Here is an 18,916-nt window from a genome sequence, read left to right on the forward strand (position 1 = left end):
CTCTATGACCTGATCCCCACTGTACTGCTGGAGTGGTTTTCCCCAACATTTAAAACCTTCATGGAGCCCAGATTGCCCTGCAGAATATGGCCCAAGCCCTTACTCTGCTTCTAAGTAGGTTCTAATGATGTTGTCTTCCCCAACCTTATCTTGTGGTTCTCCACTGTTCTGTCTATGGTTCAGTCATCAAGAACTGACCACTCTCCAGTTCCTTGAAAGTGTCCTCCCTCCCTCACCACAATCCTCTTCTCCATCAGGTCTCATCTTGTTGCGGGAAGTCAGGGACCCCGAATGGAGGGACCAACTGAAGCCATGGCAGAAGAACATAAATTTTGAAGATTTCATGGACATTTATTAGTTCCCCAAATTAATACTTTTATAATTTCTTATGCCTGTCTTTACTGCAATCTCTGAACATAAATTGTGAAGATTTCATGGACACTTATCACTTCCACAGTCAATACCCTTGTGATTTCCTATGCCTGTCTTTACTTTAATCTCTTAATCCCATCATTTTTGTAAACTGAGGATGAATGTCACCTCAGGACCCTGTGATAATTGTGTTAACTGCACAAATTGTTTAAACAATATGAAATCTGGGCACCTTGAAAAAAGAACAGGATAACAGCAATGTTCAGGGAACAAGGGAGATAACCTTAAACTCTGGCTGCCTGTGAGCTGGGTGGAACAGAGTCATATTTTTCTTCTTTCTAAATCAAATAGGAGAGATATCACTGAATTCTTTTTCTCAGCAAGGAACATCCCTGAGAAAGAGAATATGTCCCTAAGGGGAGGCCTCTGAAATGGCCGCTTTGGGGATGGCTGTCTTTTATGATCGTTGCTGAGGGATGAAATAAGCTCTGGTCTCCTGTAGTGCTCCCAGGCTTATTAGGACGAGGAAATTCCTGCCTAATAAATTTTGGTCAGACTGGTTGTCTGCTCTCAAAACCCTGTCTCCTGATAAGATGTTATCAATGACAATGCGTGCCCGAAGCTTCATTAGCAATTTTAATTTCGCCCCGGTCCTGTGGTCCTGTGAGCTCACCCTGCCTCCATTTGCCTTGTGATATTTTATTACTTTGTGAAGCATGTGATCTCTGTGAGCCACACCCTATTAGTACACTCCCTCCACTTTTGAAAATCACTAATAAAAACTTGCTGGTTTTATGGCTTAAGGGGCATCATGGAACCTGCCGACATGTGATGTCGCCCCCGGACACCCAGCTTTAAAATTGTTCTCTTTTGTACTCTGTCCCTTTATTTCTGAGACCAGCTGACACTTAGGGAAAATAGAAAAGAACCTATGTAAAATATTGGGGGTGAATTTCCCCCGATATCATCTCAAATTCCAAGAATTGTTTTCTCACTTTCCAACTCAGATTGGCATGCCTTTCATCTGCTCCTGCAGCCACCAGGTACTTCTAAACTTAGGTTGATGTTTTCTCTATTACTTGACTGCATTTGCTATTAGCCCCTGTGAACTGTGTGGGCAGGGCCAGGTTAGTGTAGTCTTAGATGCATCCTTAGATGTCACTACATCTAGGTGTATATATAGAATCAGCATTTAGTAGGTGAAGAAGTGGGTCATTTAATAGGACTTTAAACATCTCTGAGTGTGTTTGATCATGATGTCCCTGTCTCCACTTTCCTTGGGCCTCTGAATGTTAGGAGTACTGTTCTTTTTCTACATCATTTGATGACTCCCCCTGGGTTCCCTGGCCCTCTCCTTTATAATCACACACATCCATGTGGGAGGGACTGGATTCTTGCTTGTCTTCCAAGGTGGTATTATTGTTTTACAGGAAAGGAAACTGAGGCCGCTTCCGGGACCAACCAAGACTGGACTCTCTGTCTCCAGTATAGGCCCAAATCACACTGTCTCCTTCAACATTGAACCTGGCCATTTAGCCACACATGGATGGTTCAAAACTGAGATCCAAAGCTCAAAGGAAACCTTTTTGATGTCATAACTATTTGACAGTTACCTGAGTAGCCGTGAGGGCATTAAGCCAAGCAAGTAGAGGTTAAGCTGTCTCCTGACCTGCCCTCAGCCCACTGCTGTCTGTGCCTTTCTTACCTACTGCCCAATCAACCCTAAAAAAGGCTTGAGCAAGGGAGACATGTTGGGTTAACTGTGATCCAGCGACTTGTCTTTGTGTCTTACATGACTTTGCATCTGGTTATTCATTGATGTCTGATGTTAACTGGACAGGGGACATTTCTGTGCTCCTGAGAACTGAGTCTGAGTCTATATCTACTAAGAATAATTTAGTAAACAAAAATCAGGCATCTGGCAGATCTACAGGACAAGTGGAGAGCACAAGAAAAGCAATTGGCTGCTCAGAATTTGAGGAGCAGGGAAAAGAAAGCTGCTACATCATTAGGCAGGGGTGGGAAGGCACCCAGACTGCAATGGGATGAGGCTCAAGGGGCAGACAGCTGGTTCAGTGAGCTAGAGAGTGGAGGAGGATATTAGGTTGTTTCAAGAAAGAAACAGAGGATACTAGAAGGTACACGCTGACTTCTGAAGGGTTGGGTAAGAGAGGACTCTTGGCCAGGGGTGGGTGATTGGCAGGAACCCAGGGCTTACCAGTGACGGAGAGGCTCACCGCCTTACTGCGCTGGGGGCCAAAGCCATTGTCAGCTGTGCAGTAGTAGTTCCCTGAATGCTCTGCAGTCAGAGAGAAGCTGATGGCCACTCCTCCTGCAGAGTTGGCCGACCTACGCTCCAGGGCAGCACCCTCATGATGAAACTGGTACAGGATGGGGAGTGAACCTCTCTGGGCTTCACAGTGAAGTGTCACCTTGGCTCCCTCAAAAATCAGGTCCTCAGGAGAGCTGAGGTTGAGGACAGGATGAGACACGGGAACTGAGAGAGAGAAAAAATTAGTCAAGATTTGTTTCTGCCTCCTGCTGTAGTTTTCATAAAAGGAAAATAAATCTTGGGAACCCCAAATCACTAAGCCAAAGGGAAAAGTCAAGCTGGGAACTATTTCAGGCAAACCTGCTTTTTATTTTATTCCTTAATAAGATAACTTCAAAGACTTTTCTAAAAGCTACATACCTCCCTCAAAATTTGTCCACTGAAATATTATTTGTGGGCCCCAAGATCTTTACCCTAAAATGGTTCTGTTTTAAATGGTTCTGTTTTACCCTAACAGTGTAAATTGATAGCTGATTTTCACAAGTGCAGGACAAAAGACAGAACTTTAAGTCATTGCTGCTTACAGGAGACAAATGCATATCTGATTATTTCCCTGACTTAAAAATGCAGACTCACTGGGCTAAAGGAAGACAGAAGTGACTATTCCTCTGCCCCTCTCTCACATGTAAATTGTGTATTCTGCTAAAGGTTGATCAAAGACTCAAAAGAATGCAACTGTTTGTCTGTTATTTACACATACTTTTAAAAAAATTTCTTCCTTTTTCTCCATATCTTCCCTTTCACCTTTAAATATTGAAACCCTCAAAATCATCTTTGGAGAAGGCAGGGAGCTGAATCTGGGGCACATGTCTTTAGCCATGGCAAAATATACTATCCAAATTGATTGAGACCTGTCTCAGATAGTTTTTGGTTCACAGATTCAATGTTTCACCAGTGCAGTTGTTCAGTCTCCAGTCCACAGGCTCTACCCACCTGCAGGGTGACCCAGCCACTTCCCAGGCTACTCTCACCAGCTCTCCTGTCCTCCATCCTAGTCATTCCCTGTCTTTTCCTTTTCCACCAGACCTCTTGTCTTTTCTCCTCTCCCAGCTCCCCTTGTTGTAGGACCTGCCTCTGTTGTGCAGAGATGTTGCTCTCAAAGAATTCCCTTGTCTTTCCACCAGCAGAACCACACCCTTACCTGCATCAGCTCCTCACTCTGACCTGGGCCCTGAGGCTATGGAGGAGCCCTCCTTGGCCTGCCTGGGGGGATTTTCTTCTGTCTTTTCATCCTGTGCTCACCTGCCTCTGTCCTAGATAAAAGGTTTTTACCTCTACTGGCTTCTTGCAAACACCATTTGCATGTGTTTAACCCTCTCCATGTTTAAAAAAAAAAAAAACCATCAGACAATAGAAAAACAACCCTATTTGCATTTGCAGTTCCTCACAGTCGGTTTCTCCGCCTTTCTGTAGTCAGTCTTCTGGAAGAAGTGACCTACCTTTAACATCTCTACTTCTTTATCTCATATCTCATATGCATGTTTTGTCCATTACAACTTGGTTTTAATCCCCAACAATCTACTAAAGTGGATTTTCATGTTTCTGAATATAATTATGATGATAAAGATAAAAATAATAAAATAGATGTTTGTTATAATGACACTATAGTGTCTTTAAGTAAGTTCTGGTGTTTGTATATTTGTTGGATGTAATTTGTAAATATCGATATATAGAGAGACTCTAATTTAATCATCTAAGCAATTCATTGAGGTGGGTATTATTGTTGCCCCTCTTTCACAGATGAACATGCTGAGGCCCCGAGTGGGTGAGTCACACAGCTAGTAAGTGAAGAGGCAGCAGTCAAACCCAGGTATTCTGATTCTAGTCTGTCTTCTGCCAAAGAGTACTTTGTGGCTAAATTCACTGGATGTGACTCAGTTTTTATCTGTCATCATCTCTTAGCTTTGCCTTATCCAAACCAGCTCCCTCTCTTCTGCTTAGAACACATTCTGCCCTTGGTGACAGTGGGGCACACTCTCACAGTGCCTCTTGCTTCAACCGGAGTCCTTCCTTCTCAAGTCCCAACTCCTCTACTGGGACTGGCCTGGGGTTTGCTCCAACTGGACGCTCTCTTGATGAACCCTCTCTTTTACTCCTGGCTGCCCCCCAAACTGGCTGCTCTATGACTCATTTCTCACTGTGCTGCTGGAGTGGTTTTCCCCAAGATTTAAAGCATTCATGGAGCCCAGATTGCCCTGCAAAATATGGCCCAAGCCCTTACTCTGCTTCTAAATATGGTCTAAACATACCTTCCTCTCCAACCTTATCCTACCTTTCTCCACTGTTCAGTCTGTGCTGCAGTCGTCAAGAACCGACTGCCCCTCCAGTTCCTGGAACATGCCTTCCCTCCCTCACCACAATCCTCTTCTCCTGAAATGTTCCCACTCATCCTCAGGTCTCAACTCACACATGAGTTCTTCCAAGAAATTTTTTCTCACTTCCCAACTCAGATTGGCATGCCTTTCCATCTGCTCCTGCAGCCACCAGGTGCTTCTATCCTCAGGTTGATGTTTAATCTCTTACTTGACTGCATTTGCTATTAGCCCCTACGAACTGTGTGGGGAAGGCCAGGTTAGTGTAGTCGTAGATGCATCTTTAGATGTCAGTACAGTCTGGTCCATGGAATATATGCAATCAGCATTTATTAGGTGAAGAAGTGAGTCATTGAATAGGACTTTAAACATCTCTGAGCATGTTTGATCATGATGTCACTGTCTCCACTTTCTTTGGGCCACTGAATGTCAGGGACACTGTTCTCTTTCTACGTCATTTGATGTCTCCCGCTGGGTTCCCTGGTCCTCTCCTTTATAATCTCACACATCCATGTGGGAGGGACTGGATTCTTGCTTGTCTTCCAAGCTGGTATTATTGTTTTACAGGAAAGGAAACTGATGCCGCTTCCAGGACCAACCAAGACTGGACTCTCTGTCACCAGTATAGACCCAAATCACACTGTCTCCTTCAACATTGGACCTGGCATTCAGCCATGCATGGATGGTTCGAAACTGAGATCCAAAGCTCAAAGGAAACCTTTTTGATGTCATAACTATTTGGCAGCTACCTGAATAGCTCTGAGGGCATTAAGCCAAGCAAGTAGAGGTGAAGCTATCTCCTGGCCTGCCCCCAGCCCACCATTGCCCGTGCCTTTCTTACCTACTGCCCATCAACTCTAAAAAAGGCTTGAGCAAGAAGGACATGCTGGGTTAACTATGATCCAGCGACTTGTCTTTGTGTCTTACATGTCTTTGCCTTTGGTTTATTGATTAATGTCTGATATTAACAGAACAGGAGATACCTCTGTGCTCCTGGAAATTGAGTCTGTGTCTACTGAGAATAATATAGTGAATGAAAATCAGTCATCTGGGGAGCCACAGGACAAGTGGAAAGCACAAGAAAAGCACTTGGCTTCTCAGAAATTGGGAACCAGGGGATAGAAAGCCACTGCACCATCAGGCAGGGGTATAAGGGCACCTAGACTGCAATGCAACGAGACTCAAGAGGCAGACAGCTGGTTCAGTGAGCCGGAGAGTGGAGGAGGACATTAGGTTTTCCCAAGAAAGAAACTGAGGATACTGGAAGGTATATGCTGACTTCCGAAGGGCAGGGTGAGGCAGGACTCTTGGCCAGGGGTGGGTGATTGGCAGGAATGCAGGGCTTACCAGTGACTGAGAGGCTCACAGCCTTACTGGGCTTGGCGCCAAGGCCATTGTCAGCTGTGCAGTAGTAGTTCCCTGAATTCTCTGTAGTCAGTGAGAAGCTGATGGATGCTCCCCTTTCACAGCGGACTGACTTGTGCCTCAGGGGGACACCCTCATGATAAAACCTGTACAAAGTGCGCAGAGAATCTTCCTGGGTTTCACAGTGAAGTGTCACCTTGGTTCCCTCAAAATTCAGAGCCTTTTCAGGGCTGAGAGTGAGGACAGGATGAGATGCAGGGACTGAGCAAGAGAAAAAATTAGTCAAGAATTGCTTTTGCCTCTTACTGTAGATTACAAGGCATGGCCAGTGCAAATGCCCAGTCTCCAGTCTCCACCCTTAACTTGCTGCCATCAGAACCACACACCCTTACCTGCACCTGCTTCTTGCTCCTTCCTTCTGCCCTATGACTATGGAATGTTGCACCTGAAGTGCCCAATTATTCTGAGTCTTCTTTCCTATCCCTGTTTATTTCTCCTTCACTTGCATTGGCCTCAGGGATTTATTTGCCATTGCTAGTTTTTCCTTAAAGATTAGCATAGTCTTCTAGAGCTTTTTCTTCTGCTCCTACTCTCTCCCTTGGCCCAGACTGACCTTCTTTATTTACAGGTGAGAAAACTGAGTCAAGGAGAGACTAGGAGACCTGCCTGTGTAGGCTGTTTTCAGGGCCAGCCAGGGCCAGAGTTGGTGTCCTGACTCCTAGTCTGGTGATGATCACATTGCCTCCTTATAAGTGAGCCCGGAGTTTGCCATGAGTGGAGGGATGACACAGGGCTCTACAGAAGCTGTTTTTCCCTCATCACTGTAACTACCATAATAGCTTTGAAGGAAGGATGGTGCTGTATACTAGTAAGGGAGGTGATGTAATCTGGGGTGCATATTTGTACTCATAACTAGGGAATGGTAAACCTCCAGAGTCACATATTTGGAGTAACTATAATGTTGCAACCTGTCTTTGTATCCTACAGAAATTTTCACTTTGGTTATTGTCAATAAGTAATGTTAATTGGGACAACAGATACCTCTGTACACCAGAGTCAGAGAGCTATGCCACAGCCCATGGCTTATCCCTATGGGCCTAGAAGAAAAAAAAATGATGTCAGGGAAGAGAACCCTGCGAGAGAAAAGAAAGAATTGTATTTAATGGCATTGAAAGAAAAAAAATTAGACCTTTCTTTTCTTGGATTTTCCTGGGTCTAAGCTCTTCTAAGATGTTCACAAGAGTAGAGGTCTCTTTGCTTGCACAACTCCCATTCTCACAGGTACGAGTTTTTTCTACAGAGACTGGTGACCCACGCTGATATGCAGCCCTGTCCCACTTTTCCAGCCCTCTCTGCAGCAAATCTCAGGTTCCACCAACACTTACTCTGCACCTGTATCCAGGATCTCGGGCTGTCAGATATGACGCTGTAAGGCATTGTTGCTGCCTTACACCAGTAGAACCCTGAATCTTTACTCCACATGGCAGTAATCTGGAAATTCGGGGAGAGACTCCAGCCTAATCCCAGGGTCTGGTCATCTCTGAAGAAGCGGAACCGGAGCGGGACATCTGACCTCTCTAGAGAGAGCTGGGTCTCACAGGTCAGGGTCACTGGGTTCCCGCTGATGGGCTGGAAGGAGCTGGCTCTCAGCACTGGACGTGTAAATGGCTCTAGAGAGAAGAATCACAACAGTCCCAGAGCAATGAGGCTGGAACTGCTTTGGAGAAAAGCACACTTCAAGCAGCAGCACATCCAAAAGCAGGCAAAGAAAGGAATGCCATTGATCCCTAGCTTCCTTCAGCCCAAAACACTACTATACTTCCTCTGCTCCTTGCAGGAATGTGTCCTGTGGTTTAGTGGTATTCCAGTCCACCCTTTTCCTCCTGTTCTATCTCTATGACCCCAAGGAATCTCCTTTTGACCAACTCACTTCACAAAATAATGAAGGCTTTACCTTGGACTTGGATTTTGACTGTATTGGAAGAAACAGGGCAACAACTTTCCTTATATCCAGTACAGCGATATGCACCATTGTCCTTGAGACATGCATGAGGAATATGGAAGTCAGTTCTTTTATTAAGGAATGCCAGGACATTATCATTCTTGTAAATAGTATTATTCAGTGTTACTTCCGCCTTTGCCCGGCACCTCAGAACCACAGAGTCTCCTTCAAACACAGAAAGTGGAGCTTGCAGGATCAGCGAAGCTATGAGAAACACAATAGAGTTATTTGGTTCATCCTACTGTTTCCCCTTTCTTTTCATTGTTTTTCCAAGTAGATTTTATTTTAAAAAAATGGGTTGGGAAAAAGAACTCTTAAAATAATTATCATTTCTTTTTTTCTGATTTAAAAATGAACACATACACCTTAAGAAAAGTTGAAAAGCAGAAATGTAGGTAAAATCACCTACCATCTCACCACCCATGTTTTGGCATATGTTTTTCCAGTTTTCTCTTCCACTTTCAAGTACTTGGAGCTCATGCGTATTTCTTTTATGGAATAATATTAATATTTGTAGATTTGATAACTTTCCTTTCACTTACTATGCTATGAACACTTTCCTACATCATTAGTATCATTATTGAACCTGATTTTTAATGTTTGCGGTTTTCCTTCACTGGCAGTAATGTAATTTCTTTAATGAGTTTTTTTTTTTTTTTTTTTTTTTTGAGACGGAGTCTCACTCTTTCACCCAGGCAGGACTGCAGTGGTGCTATCTCGGCTCACTGCAAGCTCCATCTCCCGGGTTCATGCCATTCTCCTGCCTCAGCCTCCCGAGTAGCTGGGACTACAGGCACCCGCCACCAAGCCCGGCTAATTTTTTGTATTTTTAGTAGAGACGGGGTTTCATAGTGTTAGCCAGGATGGTCTCAATCTCCTGACCTCGTGATCCACCCGCCTTGGCCTTCCAAAGTGCTGGGATTACAGGCGTAAGCCACCGCGCCTGGCCAGGTATTCTTTTTCTAAACCATGTTAAGGTCTGCCATTTTCAGGGATGGACATCTGTGATTGTTTCAGTAGGCAAATTCTTAAGAGACGGATTGTTAAGTCAAAGAGTATAAACATTTTTGTTTATTCCTTGCTAGTACACTGCTTCCACTACATTAAAAAATGATGTAACTTCAACTTCAAAACAGGTGGCTTTAGGACAAGGAAGGAAATGTCTCTTCCTTTATCTTTCTTTCTCTGTATATTTATCTACCTATGCATTATCTACCCATAAGTATGAACAATTCTCCTGCCACTTATTATTCCAAGTAAATAATGTGACTTAAAACTATACATAGAGGCCGGGTGCAGTGGCTCATACCTGTAATCCCAGCGCTTTGAGAGGCCTAGGTGAGCAGATCACTTGAGCCCAGGAGTTCAACATTAGCCTGGGCAGCATGAGGAAATCCCATCTCTGCTAAGAATACAAAAATTAGCCAGGTGTGATGGCGGGCTCTTGTAGTCCTACTTACTAGGGATACCGAGGTGGGAGAATTGCTTGAACCCGGGAGACAGAAGTTGCAGTGAGCCGAGATAACGCCACTGCACTCCAGCCTGGGTGACAGAGCGAGACTCCATCTCAAAAAACCAAACCAAACCAAACCAAACCAAACCAAACCAAACCAAACCAAACCAAAAAGCTATACATAGATTCAGGAACCACTCAAATAAATTAATCCTCAGACTTTCTGGTACCGGAGAGGCTTGTAAAAAATATAAATTGCTGGACCCCACTTCTACAGGTTTCTATTGAATAAGCATAGGTAGGTCCTGAGTATCTGTATGGTTGATAAGCTGCCCAGGCTTTCTGACTCAAATCAAACTTTAAGAACCACAGGTTTAGAGACATTAATCCACTCAAGTAAAAATTCTATTTATTTTAATGTTTAAAATTAAGCAGCTAACCCCATTCCCTGTCTGGTTGTATTCTGAGCTTTTTACTCTCTCCTTGTCTTACCACAGTGTGAAATAAAATTGTCCACTCATGAAGGGTCTGAGGTAAACAGTAATAACAGCTAGAGAGAAACATGGGCTGAATTGATTTCTAAAGTTGGTGCGTCTTTCACGCTCTCTCACCTGAAGAAAAATCCAAGTGCACAGGGCTACTGAGAGGGGAGCCCTGGGCCTGGCATCTGTACTCTCCAGATTCCTGAACCTCAAGGATATTGTCTGGGGTTTCTCTTAGTATTTCTTTCCCAAGGTACCGATGGTACCATTTTGTTTTCTGTGGTGAGTAGAAGCGAAATCCCTTGCAAGTGAGGGTCACTCTCTCTCCTTGGAAGACTGTGGTCCATGGAGGCTGGAGGAAAATAATGGGCCTGGGTGTCCTTGCTGAAGAGGAAAGAGAAAAGGAGTCTGAGGTGGAGGCGCCTGCAGACCCAGCCTCAGGGCCTCCTGCTGCATAGCCTGAAGGACCTGGGTTTGGAGGATCTGAAAGAGGTCCTCTGGGAGGGTCACTGATAGCTCAAAGCTCCCTGTCAGCCAGTGGCCCTCACCTCACCCAAGGGAGAAATTGCCCAGGGGATGGCAATGAGCAAAATGATTTCAGGAGGGTGACACCAGCAGGATTCGCCATCAAATATCACAGTTAGGTAGCCTTACATGGAAGTGGGTCCCAGAGAAAATCAATGCTGCGCTGCCATTTCATCATGTTCATACACTCATAAGAAACTCCAAAGGTTATGTTAAAATCACAATTTTGCACTTTCCCTAAGAGAATAAATCATATTATCTTAAGATTTGTCCCTGAGAAAACCTTGAGAGCTCAACTTACCTAATATCTTCATTTTGTAGATGATGATTCAAGTGCCCAGAAGAATCCCATCACAGCTAATTGTGGCAGAGCAAGGAAGGGACAAGTCACTCACTGACATCCAGAGGTGACCAGGACAAAGTTACAGCTGGGGCCACTGATTTGGACAAGGAGAGGGGTTGTAGAGGGTTGTTGCTGTTCATGGGTTCTCAATTATCCACTCAGAGCCAAAGGAATGGCAGTAAGAGCCAGAACTAATTAAATGTGGGATGCAGATAACTTGTCTTCTCCCCATCTCCCCTTTCTGTGCCTTTCTTTTTTGTAAGGACCCAGTTATTGGATGTCCTGGAGGATTTTACTCCAAAGTGTAGAGAATGCAGCATTCCTGCTGGCATCAGCACAGTGGGATATTTTCAGGGTATTTTTCTGGCTCGCTGATTGAGAGGATCCTATCCTGAGTCAATATACTTGCCATGGAGTTGAAGATGTCCTGCCTGGCTAAATGGGGTCTGTTGGCAATAATAGTAAATGCAGGGCTTAGCAAAGGCTGGGAGCTGCTTGGGCATTCACCCCTTCCCCCAGGGAGGGTCAGAGGGTGACCATGAAGCTATCCTGGCCCTTGGACGATGCCAAAAAACCAGGCATCACTTTGAAATCCCTGCTGACCTCAGCAAGAAAACAGGAGATATTGTTTTAGGTCTAACATTTAAGTCTTTAAGAAAACCTAGGCAATACCATTCAGGACATAGGCATGGGCAAGGACTTCATGTCTAAAACACCAAAAGCAATGGCAACAAAAGCCAAAATTGACAAATGGGATCTAATTAAACTAAAGAACTTCTGCACAGCAAAAGAAACTACCATCAGAGTGAACAGGCAACCTACAGAATGGGAGAAAAGTTTTGCAATCTACTCATTTGACAAAGGGCTAATATCCAGAATCTACAATGAACTCAAACAAATTTACAAGAAAAATTCAAACAACCCCATCAAAAAGTGGGTGAAGGATATGAACAGACACTTCTCAAAAGAAGACATTTATGCAGCCAAAAGACACATGAGAAAATGCTCATCATCACTGGCCATCAGAGAAATGCAAATCAAAACCACAATGAGATACCATATCACACCAGTTAGAATGGCAATTATTAAAAAGTCAGGAAACAACAGGTGCTGGAGAGGATGTGGAGAAATAGGAACACTTTTACACTGTTGGTGGGAGTGTAAACTAGTTCAACCATTGTGGAAGTCAGTGTGGCGATTCCTCAGGGATCTAGAAGCAGAAATACCATTTGACCCAGCCATCCCATTACCAGGTATATAACCAATGGACTACAAATCATGCTGCTATAAAGGCACATGCACACGTATGTTTACTGCGGCACTATTCACAGTAGCAAAGACTTGGAACCAACCCAAATGTCCAACAATGATAGACTGGATCAAGGAAATGTGGCACATATACACCATGGAATACTATGCAGCCATAAAAAATGATGAGTTCATGTCCTTTGTAGGGACATGGATGAAGCTGGAAACTGTCATTCTCAGCAAACTATTGCAAGGACAAAAAACCAAACACCGCATGTTCTCACTCATAGGTGGGAATTGAACAATGAGAACACTTGGACACAGGAAGGGGAACATCACACTCCAGGGCCTGTTGTGGGGTGGGGGGAGGGGGGAGGGATAGCATTAGGAGATATACCTAATGTTAAATGACGAGTTAGTGGGTGCAGCGCACCAACATGGCACATGTATACATATATAACAAACCTGCACGTTGTGCACATGTACCCTAAAACTTAAAGTATAATAAAAAAAAGGAAAGAAAACAGGAGATATTGGAGATCTCAGGCAGCCATCACAAATGTTTTCTATTTATTAGGAAGAGACACTCTTAACCAGAGACGCTGAAGAGCCAAAGACAGGAGAACTCACCAAACTGTCCACTGACAGGAGCTGCAAAAAAATAAGAGCCAGAGATGAGCACAGAACCATGATTATTTTGTTTTAAGAAGATAATTCCCTTTTTTACCCATGCATGTATTACTTGTCCCTTTAAAAAATTCATTTAAAAACTCTAATAATTATTCATCAAATGTATATATATACACATAAATATACATATATATACATATATATATGGCATGGTATTTGGACTTCTACAATGAATTTTAAAAATGGTATCTGCCATCAAGAAGTTGACTAGTGGAAAAACAGAAACACGATTTAAAATAATATAACACAGGGTGTAAGTGCAATAACAGAAATACACATGGGGTATGTTGGGGGCAGAAGGGCCACTAGCCCAGTGTGTAGGATATATGTGTGTGTGTAGAGTGTGTGTTTGTGTGTACATGTGTTGAACAGGATGGGTGGATCCTTGAAGGTACCTGAAGGAGATGATACTTCACAAAACTGTGAGTGAGAACATGAGTCTGCAGGTGGATGTTAGCATTTGTGTGTGGTAAGAGGCGATTTCTACCTTTCAAGGTAGAAAGGGCACAGAAGTGGAGAAATGACATTGGTGCTCAGGAACTGGGAGTGTTGGGGGAAATAAGACCAGAGAAGCATGCAGGGCCTGAGTAAGTGGTTCTAATTTTATTATAAAAGTGATAAGGAGTCATGGAATGGTTTCAAGGAGGAGATTGACAAGGTTAGAATTTCAGACTTTGATGGAGCACTCTGTCAGTGGACAGAATTTAATGGGACAATATGAAGCAGGGAGACTGATTAGAAGGCAGGGCAAGGAAATGGACATGAATTAAGCCTCCCTTGGGCACCAGACTCCAGGCTATACTCTTTTCATGAGATCATTGAATCCAAGGGCTCATTATCATCATGCCTAATTTTTAAACAATCAACTGATGCTCAGATTATTTAGACCTGATGCTCAGCCCAAGAGATGGTAATGTGTAATTTTTGTCAGAGTATTTATCCAAATTATCTTCATTATCTGCTTGTTTATTTTCCCTTCTCTATAATGCAAGCTCTATGAGACCTAGGACTTTCCTTATGTTCACCATATATCCTCCAGGACCTATAACGGTGAATGGCATATAAAAGATATTCCTTTAATGTTCACTAAATATATTTGTGTTGTATAATGAATTAATTAAAGAACTAGGTTAATAATATAGGAATAGAAGGATAGAGATTTGAGAAATGGGTAATGAAGAGAGAGAGGACACAAAACTGGCAGGTTTATCAATTGAGTAGGTATTCTGCATATGGGTTGATTTATTTATTCAACAGATTTTTGGAATGCCAATCATACTCCAGAGCAAGGCAATAGAAATCCAGGAGTGTGTGAGAGACAAATCATCCCTGTCCACATGAGGCTATTGGAGACTTATCCAAACTTAAGTGTTTTACTGAGAACAACAAATTATTCACCATTCACCTGAATATTTTGGCTTCCTTCATCTTTGCATTGTTTTAAATGAAGCTAATATTTTTGTGAGTGGTTTCTATATGGTCTGCATTTACGTAGGTTATTTCATATAACCATGTCAATAATCCTGTGAGGTAAGCACTAGGATTAACTGCATTTTGTAGACCAGGAATCTGGTAGCCAGTAGGTGGCAAGATGAAGTTTGAACCTAGATCCTGTTTGACCCCAGAGCCCATGTTATAAACTTTGCCCTCTCATGCTCAGGACCTGGCCATTACCCACATTGTGTGGGGCCACACTGAGATGTATTCCTACTTCAGGAATTATAGTCCATGCACCTTCCAACTGTGAGGTCCTCTTTTCTTATATCACGCCTGCTCCATTTCTGCTCCTCTAGCTCCTACTCACCTCTAAGTTTCATGAAGTCTTTACTAGCTATTTTGAATACAGTTTATTATCTGCCTACAGCATTCATTGGTAACTTTGCCTGGACAATTATTTAACTGGGAGCTTGTTGCATAGCTGCTTGAAAGTACATTGGCCTTGCTGGGAGCCCTTCTATGTCATGACTTTCCAGAACATAGACGTAGTGTCTCCTATGGACTCTAATTGCTCAGCACCTGTGCATAGATATTACTAAACACATTTGCTGAACAAATAAATAAACATATTTAATTATAATATTTAACCTTTAGTAAAAATCAACCAGTTCGCACATATGAGTTGATAGAGACTTACGTACACCCACAGGGACAAAGAGAAAGTCATATGCTTTAGATTTATCCTTGCTTTGTCCACCTACGCCTCTGCGACCTCCTCCACCCCATGTTCTTAATCAGCCAATTGCTGCAGTGGTTTGCAATTATGTACAAGAGAAAGACCTGTCTTTCCCGTTAGAAACCTTGCCTCTTATGCTGGGGACCAGGATCTGGCCTTGTCATACAAGGAATAAATACATCTCCTCTGCAGAGAGGAGAGTGGGCTCTTCTATGAGTAAGACAATATGAACAAACAAACATGAAACATTCTCTGGACTTTAAGAAGTACTTTTTAAAGAAAAAAATAAATGAAATTTTAATTGTTGTGGTTATTGTGGTTTCCTACTCTGTAAGATTGAAAATTCCTTCCAGCTGTGGCCATTTTCTTCAGCCTCAAGAGAAAGCCCTGAGCTACAGAGTAAAGTTCAAAAATACAGTCTCCTAATGTAGGAGAGAGTCTCTCAGCAGGGGCTGAGCCCCAAGAAAGGACCAGGCCTGCGGTGGAGAGAGAAGCTGTCCCGATCCCACCCAGGGCCCATGGTGAGCCCTTTTACTCACCCAGGACCAGTAATATCACCCACAGCAGCATGAAGACCTGGACCACCAAGGGCTGAGATCAAAAGAGAAGTTTCCTCAATTCCAAAACAGGTTTGGACTTGATCTTACAGTCAGGACACTGCACACCAGCTCCAAGGAGCACATCTGAGAAGCTGTGCTCTCAAAAAGAGCAGAATGCATTAGTGAATTGAAAAAAGGAAGTGGGAGTACCCGTCTTCAGCTGCTAATCACAGTTTCCTACCCGATGATCAAAGAAAAAAAAAAGTTAAGGTTTTAAAAAATCAAATACCCTTGACCCTACATTTTTGCTATTGGGAAATTACCCTGAAGGAAGTATCTGAAGAGAGTACTATAAGAACGTTTATTGTAGCATTCATTATTGCCTAAACACTGGAAACAAAACAAAAAACCATGATATGGGGACTGTTTAAGAATATTCTGATTCATCCGTATGGTGACAAGCAATCATTAAAGAATAAGGTAAATCTGAACATGCCAAGAAGGGAAGACCACCTTGTTTGATGTGAAGAGAATAAAAGTGAGATATAGATTGGTTTTGTAGTATTATCCCATTGGGTAAATATAAAAAATAGGATATATGTGTACATCAACTCTTTTAAGTATACTTTCTTCTTTTCCTGGAAAGTACACACAAAAATATTGATTATGTTTGAGGAGCAATAGGTGGGAAGAACACAATTTATTTTATGTATTTCTGTACCGTTTGATTTTTTAAAAAATTACCAGGTGAATGTATAGCTCTTATGATTTTCTAAAAGTCAAGTTTCCATCCTGGTATACTGGTCAACAGAGGTTCCTAAGACATTAGCTGCCACGAGGAGTGCCAGTTTCTTTCTTTCAAATATTTTCTCACCCTTTCTCTCTGGGCCCATACCTTGGTCTTCCTAAGGGGGCATTTAATTTTATATCTACAAATGCACATCACCTTAGGTATATTATGTCACATCTGACCCACTGCACCCTGAGGCAAGAAAACCATACAGGGGTTACAGGGGTGAATAGAGATTAAGAGGAGAACTTCAAAGGGAACACAGAATCTTTACCTACTTTTGGTGCTAAAACAAATAGTGCTGCTATGAACATTCTTGTATACATTTATTGGGGCATATGCGCACATAATTCTGTTGGGTATATATCTGGGAGTGGAAGTCCTGGCTCATAAGGTATGCATATATTCAGTTTAGGAAGTATTACCAAATTATTTTCCAAAGTGGTTGTGCCAATTCCCACCACACCCACCAACCAATGTATGAGAGTTATCATTGTTCTAAAATTCTTGCTGATATTGGTATTGTCATCTAGTAAAATCTGGCCGTTCTGCTAGAATTATCTCAATGTGGTTTTAATTTGTATGTCTCTGGTGAATTTGAGAATGAGCATTTTTTCATAGTCTAATTGGTGATGTAGATATCCTTTTTATGTGCAATCTCTGTTCAAATATTTCCTCATTTTTCTCTTAACTTTCAGTCTTTCTTTTCCTGTTTTGTAGTTATTTTAAACCCTGAATATAAACCTTTTGTTGGATATATGTATTGCAAATGTCTTCCTTCAATCTGTGGCTTGCTTCTTTGCTCATTGATAGTGCCTTTTGATGAACAACCATTCTAACTTTGACATAGTCCAGTTTATCAGTCTTCTCCTTTGTGGTTAGAGATTTTTGCATCCCTTCTAAGAAAGTTAGTCTACTCCAAGATCATAAAGATACTCTCCCAGGTTATCTTCTAGAAACTTTATTTTTTACCATTTATTTTATATTTATAAGAGCATTGCAATTGATTTTTGTGTACAGTTTGAGTGTTTATATTCACTTTTAACTTAAATACAGATAATTTATCCTGCCCTATTTATTGAAAGTTGATTTTTTCCACAGTACAGTGCAATTTCACCTTTGTTATAAAACAAAAAGCCATGTAGGTCTATTTTTGGAAACTCCTTTCTTGTCCATTAGTCTATTTTGTCTATCCTCATGCCAATACCACACTCTTCTAATTATTGTGGCTTTATAATAACTCTTATTAACTGATAGTTTAAGTCATAAAATGCTGTTCTTCTTCAAAATTGTTATGGCTATTTTTGGCTTTTTGAATTTTTCTATACATTTAAAAATCACCTTGTCAATTCCTGTCCCCTCTCTCCCCAAAAGCCTAGTAGATTTTTAATAACTGGGATTGCATTGGATTTATAAGTTAATTTGTATAAATTAGAAAAGATTTAGTCTCCCAATCCATAAACATACAATATCCCCTCATTTATTTAGGTTAACTTGACATTCTTTCAGTAATTTTCTATAGCTTTGCCTCTGGAAAGTATATCTTTTGGTAGGTTTATCCTTAGGTTATTGATATGTTTTTTATGATATTGTAAGTGACATCATTAGATTTTTTTCTAAATGTATATTGGTATATAGAAATATAATACTTTTTTGTTTTACTGACCATTATTTTTATTTTTTTGAGACAGAGTTTTGCTCTTGTCCCCCAGGCTGGAGTGCACTGGTGCGATCTTGGCTCATTGCAACCTCCACCTCCCAGGTTCAAGCGATTCTCCTGCCTTAGCGTCCCAAGTAGCTGGGATTATAGGTGTCTGCCACCATGCCCAGCTAATTTTTGTATTTTTAGTAGAGATGAGGTTTCACCATGTTGGCCAGGCTGGTCTCAAACTCCTGACCTCAAGTTATCTGCCCGCCTTGGCCTCCAAAAGTGCTAGGATTACAAGCGTGAGCCACCATGCCCGGCCTTACTGACCTTTTAATATCTACTAAAATTGCGGAATTTACTTATTAATTTTAATAGTTTATCTTTAGGTTATTTTAGATTTCATGCAAACACAATCATATAATGATAGTTTTATTCATTATTTTTAATACTTAAACTTCCTTTTCTCTCACTTATTGCACTGACTAGGAACTCAAACATGATACTAAAGAGAAGTGGTAATATCAGGTGTCCTGTCTTAGTCTCACAGAAAAAGCTCTTAATATTTCAATATTAAATATAATATTTTCTGTAATTTTTTTTGGTGAATACTATGTATCAGATTAAATACCTTTCCTTATATTT

General features: G+C 41.9%; 1 protein-coding gene across 7 annotated transcripts in view; it reads right to left on the reverse strand.

Annotated features, from left to right (window-relative positions):
* The window catches only part of FCRL5 (Fc receptor like 5), a 39,139-nt gene extending 23,119 nt beyond the window's left edge, over nt 1-16,020 (reverse strand). For 5 of the 7 annotated variants that reach the window (XM_011510031.3, NM_001195388.2, NM_031281.3 and 2 more), the window contains exons 1-7: nt 15,837-16,020; nt 13,065-13,085; nt 10,448-10,702; nt 8,336-8,587; nt 7,767-8,051; nt 6,364-6,642; nt 2,591-2,869 (exon numbers count right to left, since the gene is read on the reverse strand). In XM_011510031.3, the coding sequence (XP_011508333.1) occupies nt 2,591-2,869; nt 6,364-6,642; nt 7,767-8,051; nt 8,336-8,587; nt 10,448-10,702; nt 13,065-13,085; nt 15,837-15,867 (1,402 nt within the window). In that variant the 5' untranslated portion in view covers nt 15,868-16,020. The remainder of the gene's footprint in view (nt 1-2,590; nt 2,870-6,363; nt 6,643-7,766; nt 8,052-8,335; nt 8,588-10,447; nt 10,703-13,064; nt 13,086-15,836) is intronic. The other 2 variants (XM_011510030.3, XM_011510032.3) reach the window with 2 other exon arrangements.

This window comes from Homo sapiens, chromosome 1 (genome assembly GCF_000001405.40).
Source record: "Homo sapiens chromosome 1, GRCh38.p14 Primary Assembly".
NCBI classification, from domain to species: domain Eukaryota; kingdom Metazoa; phylum Chordata; class Mammalia; order Primates; family Hominidae; genus Homo; species Homo sapiens.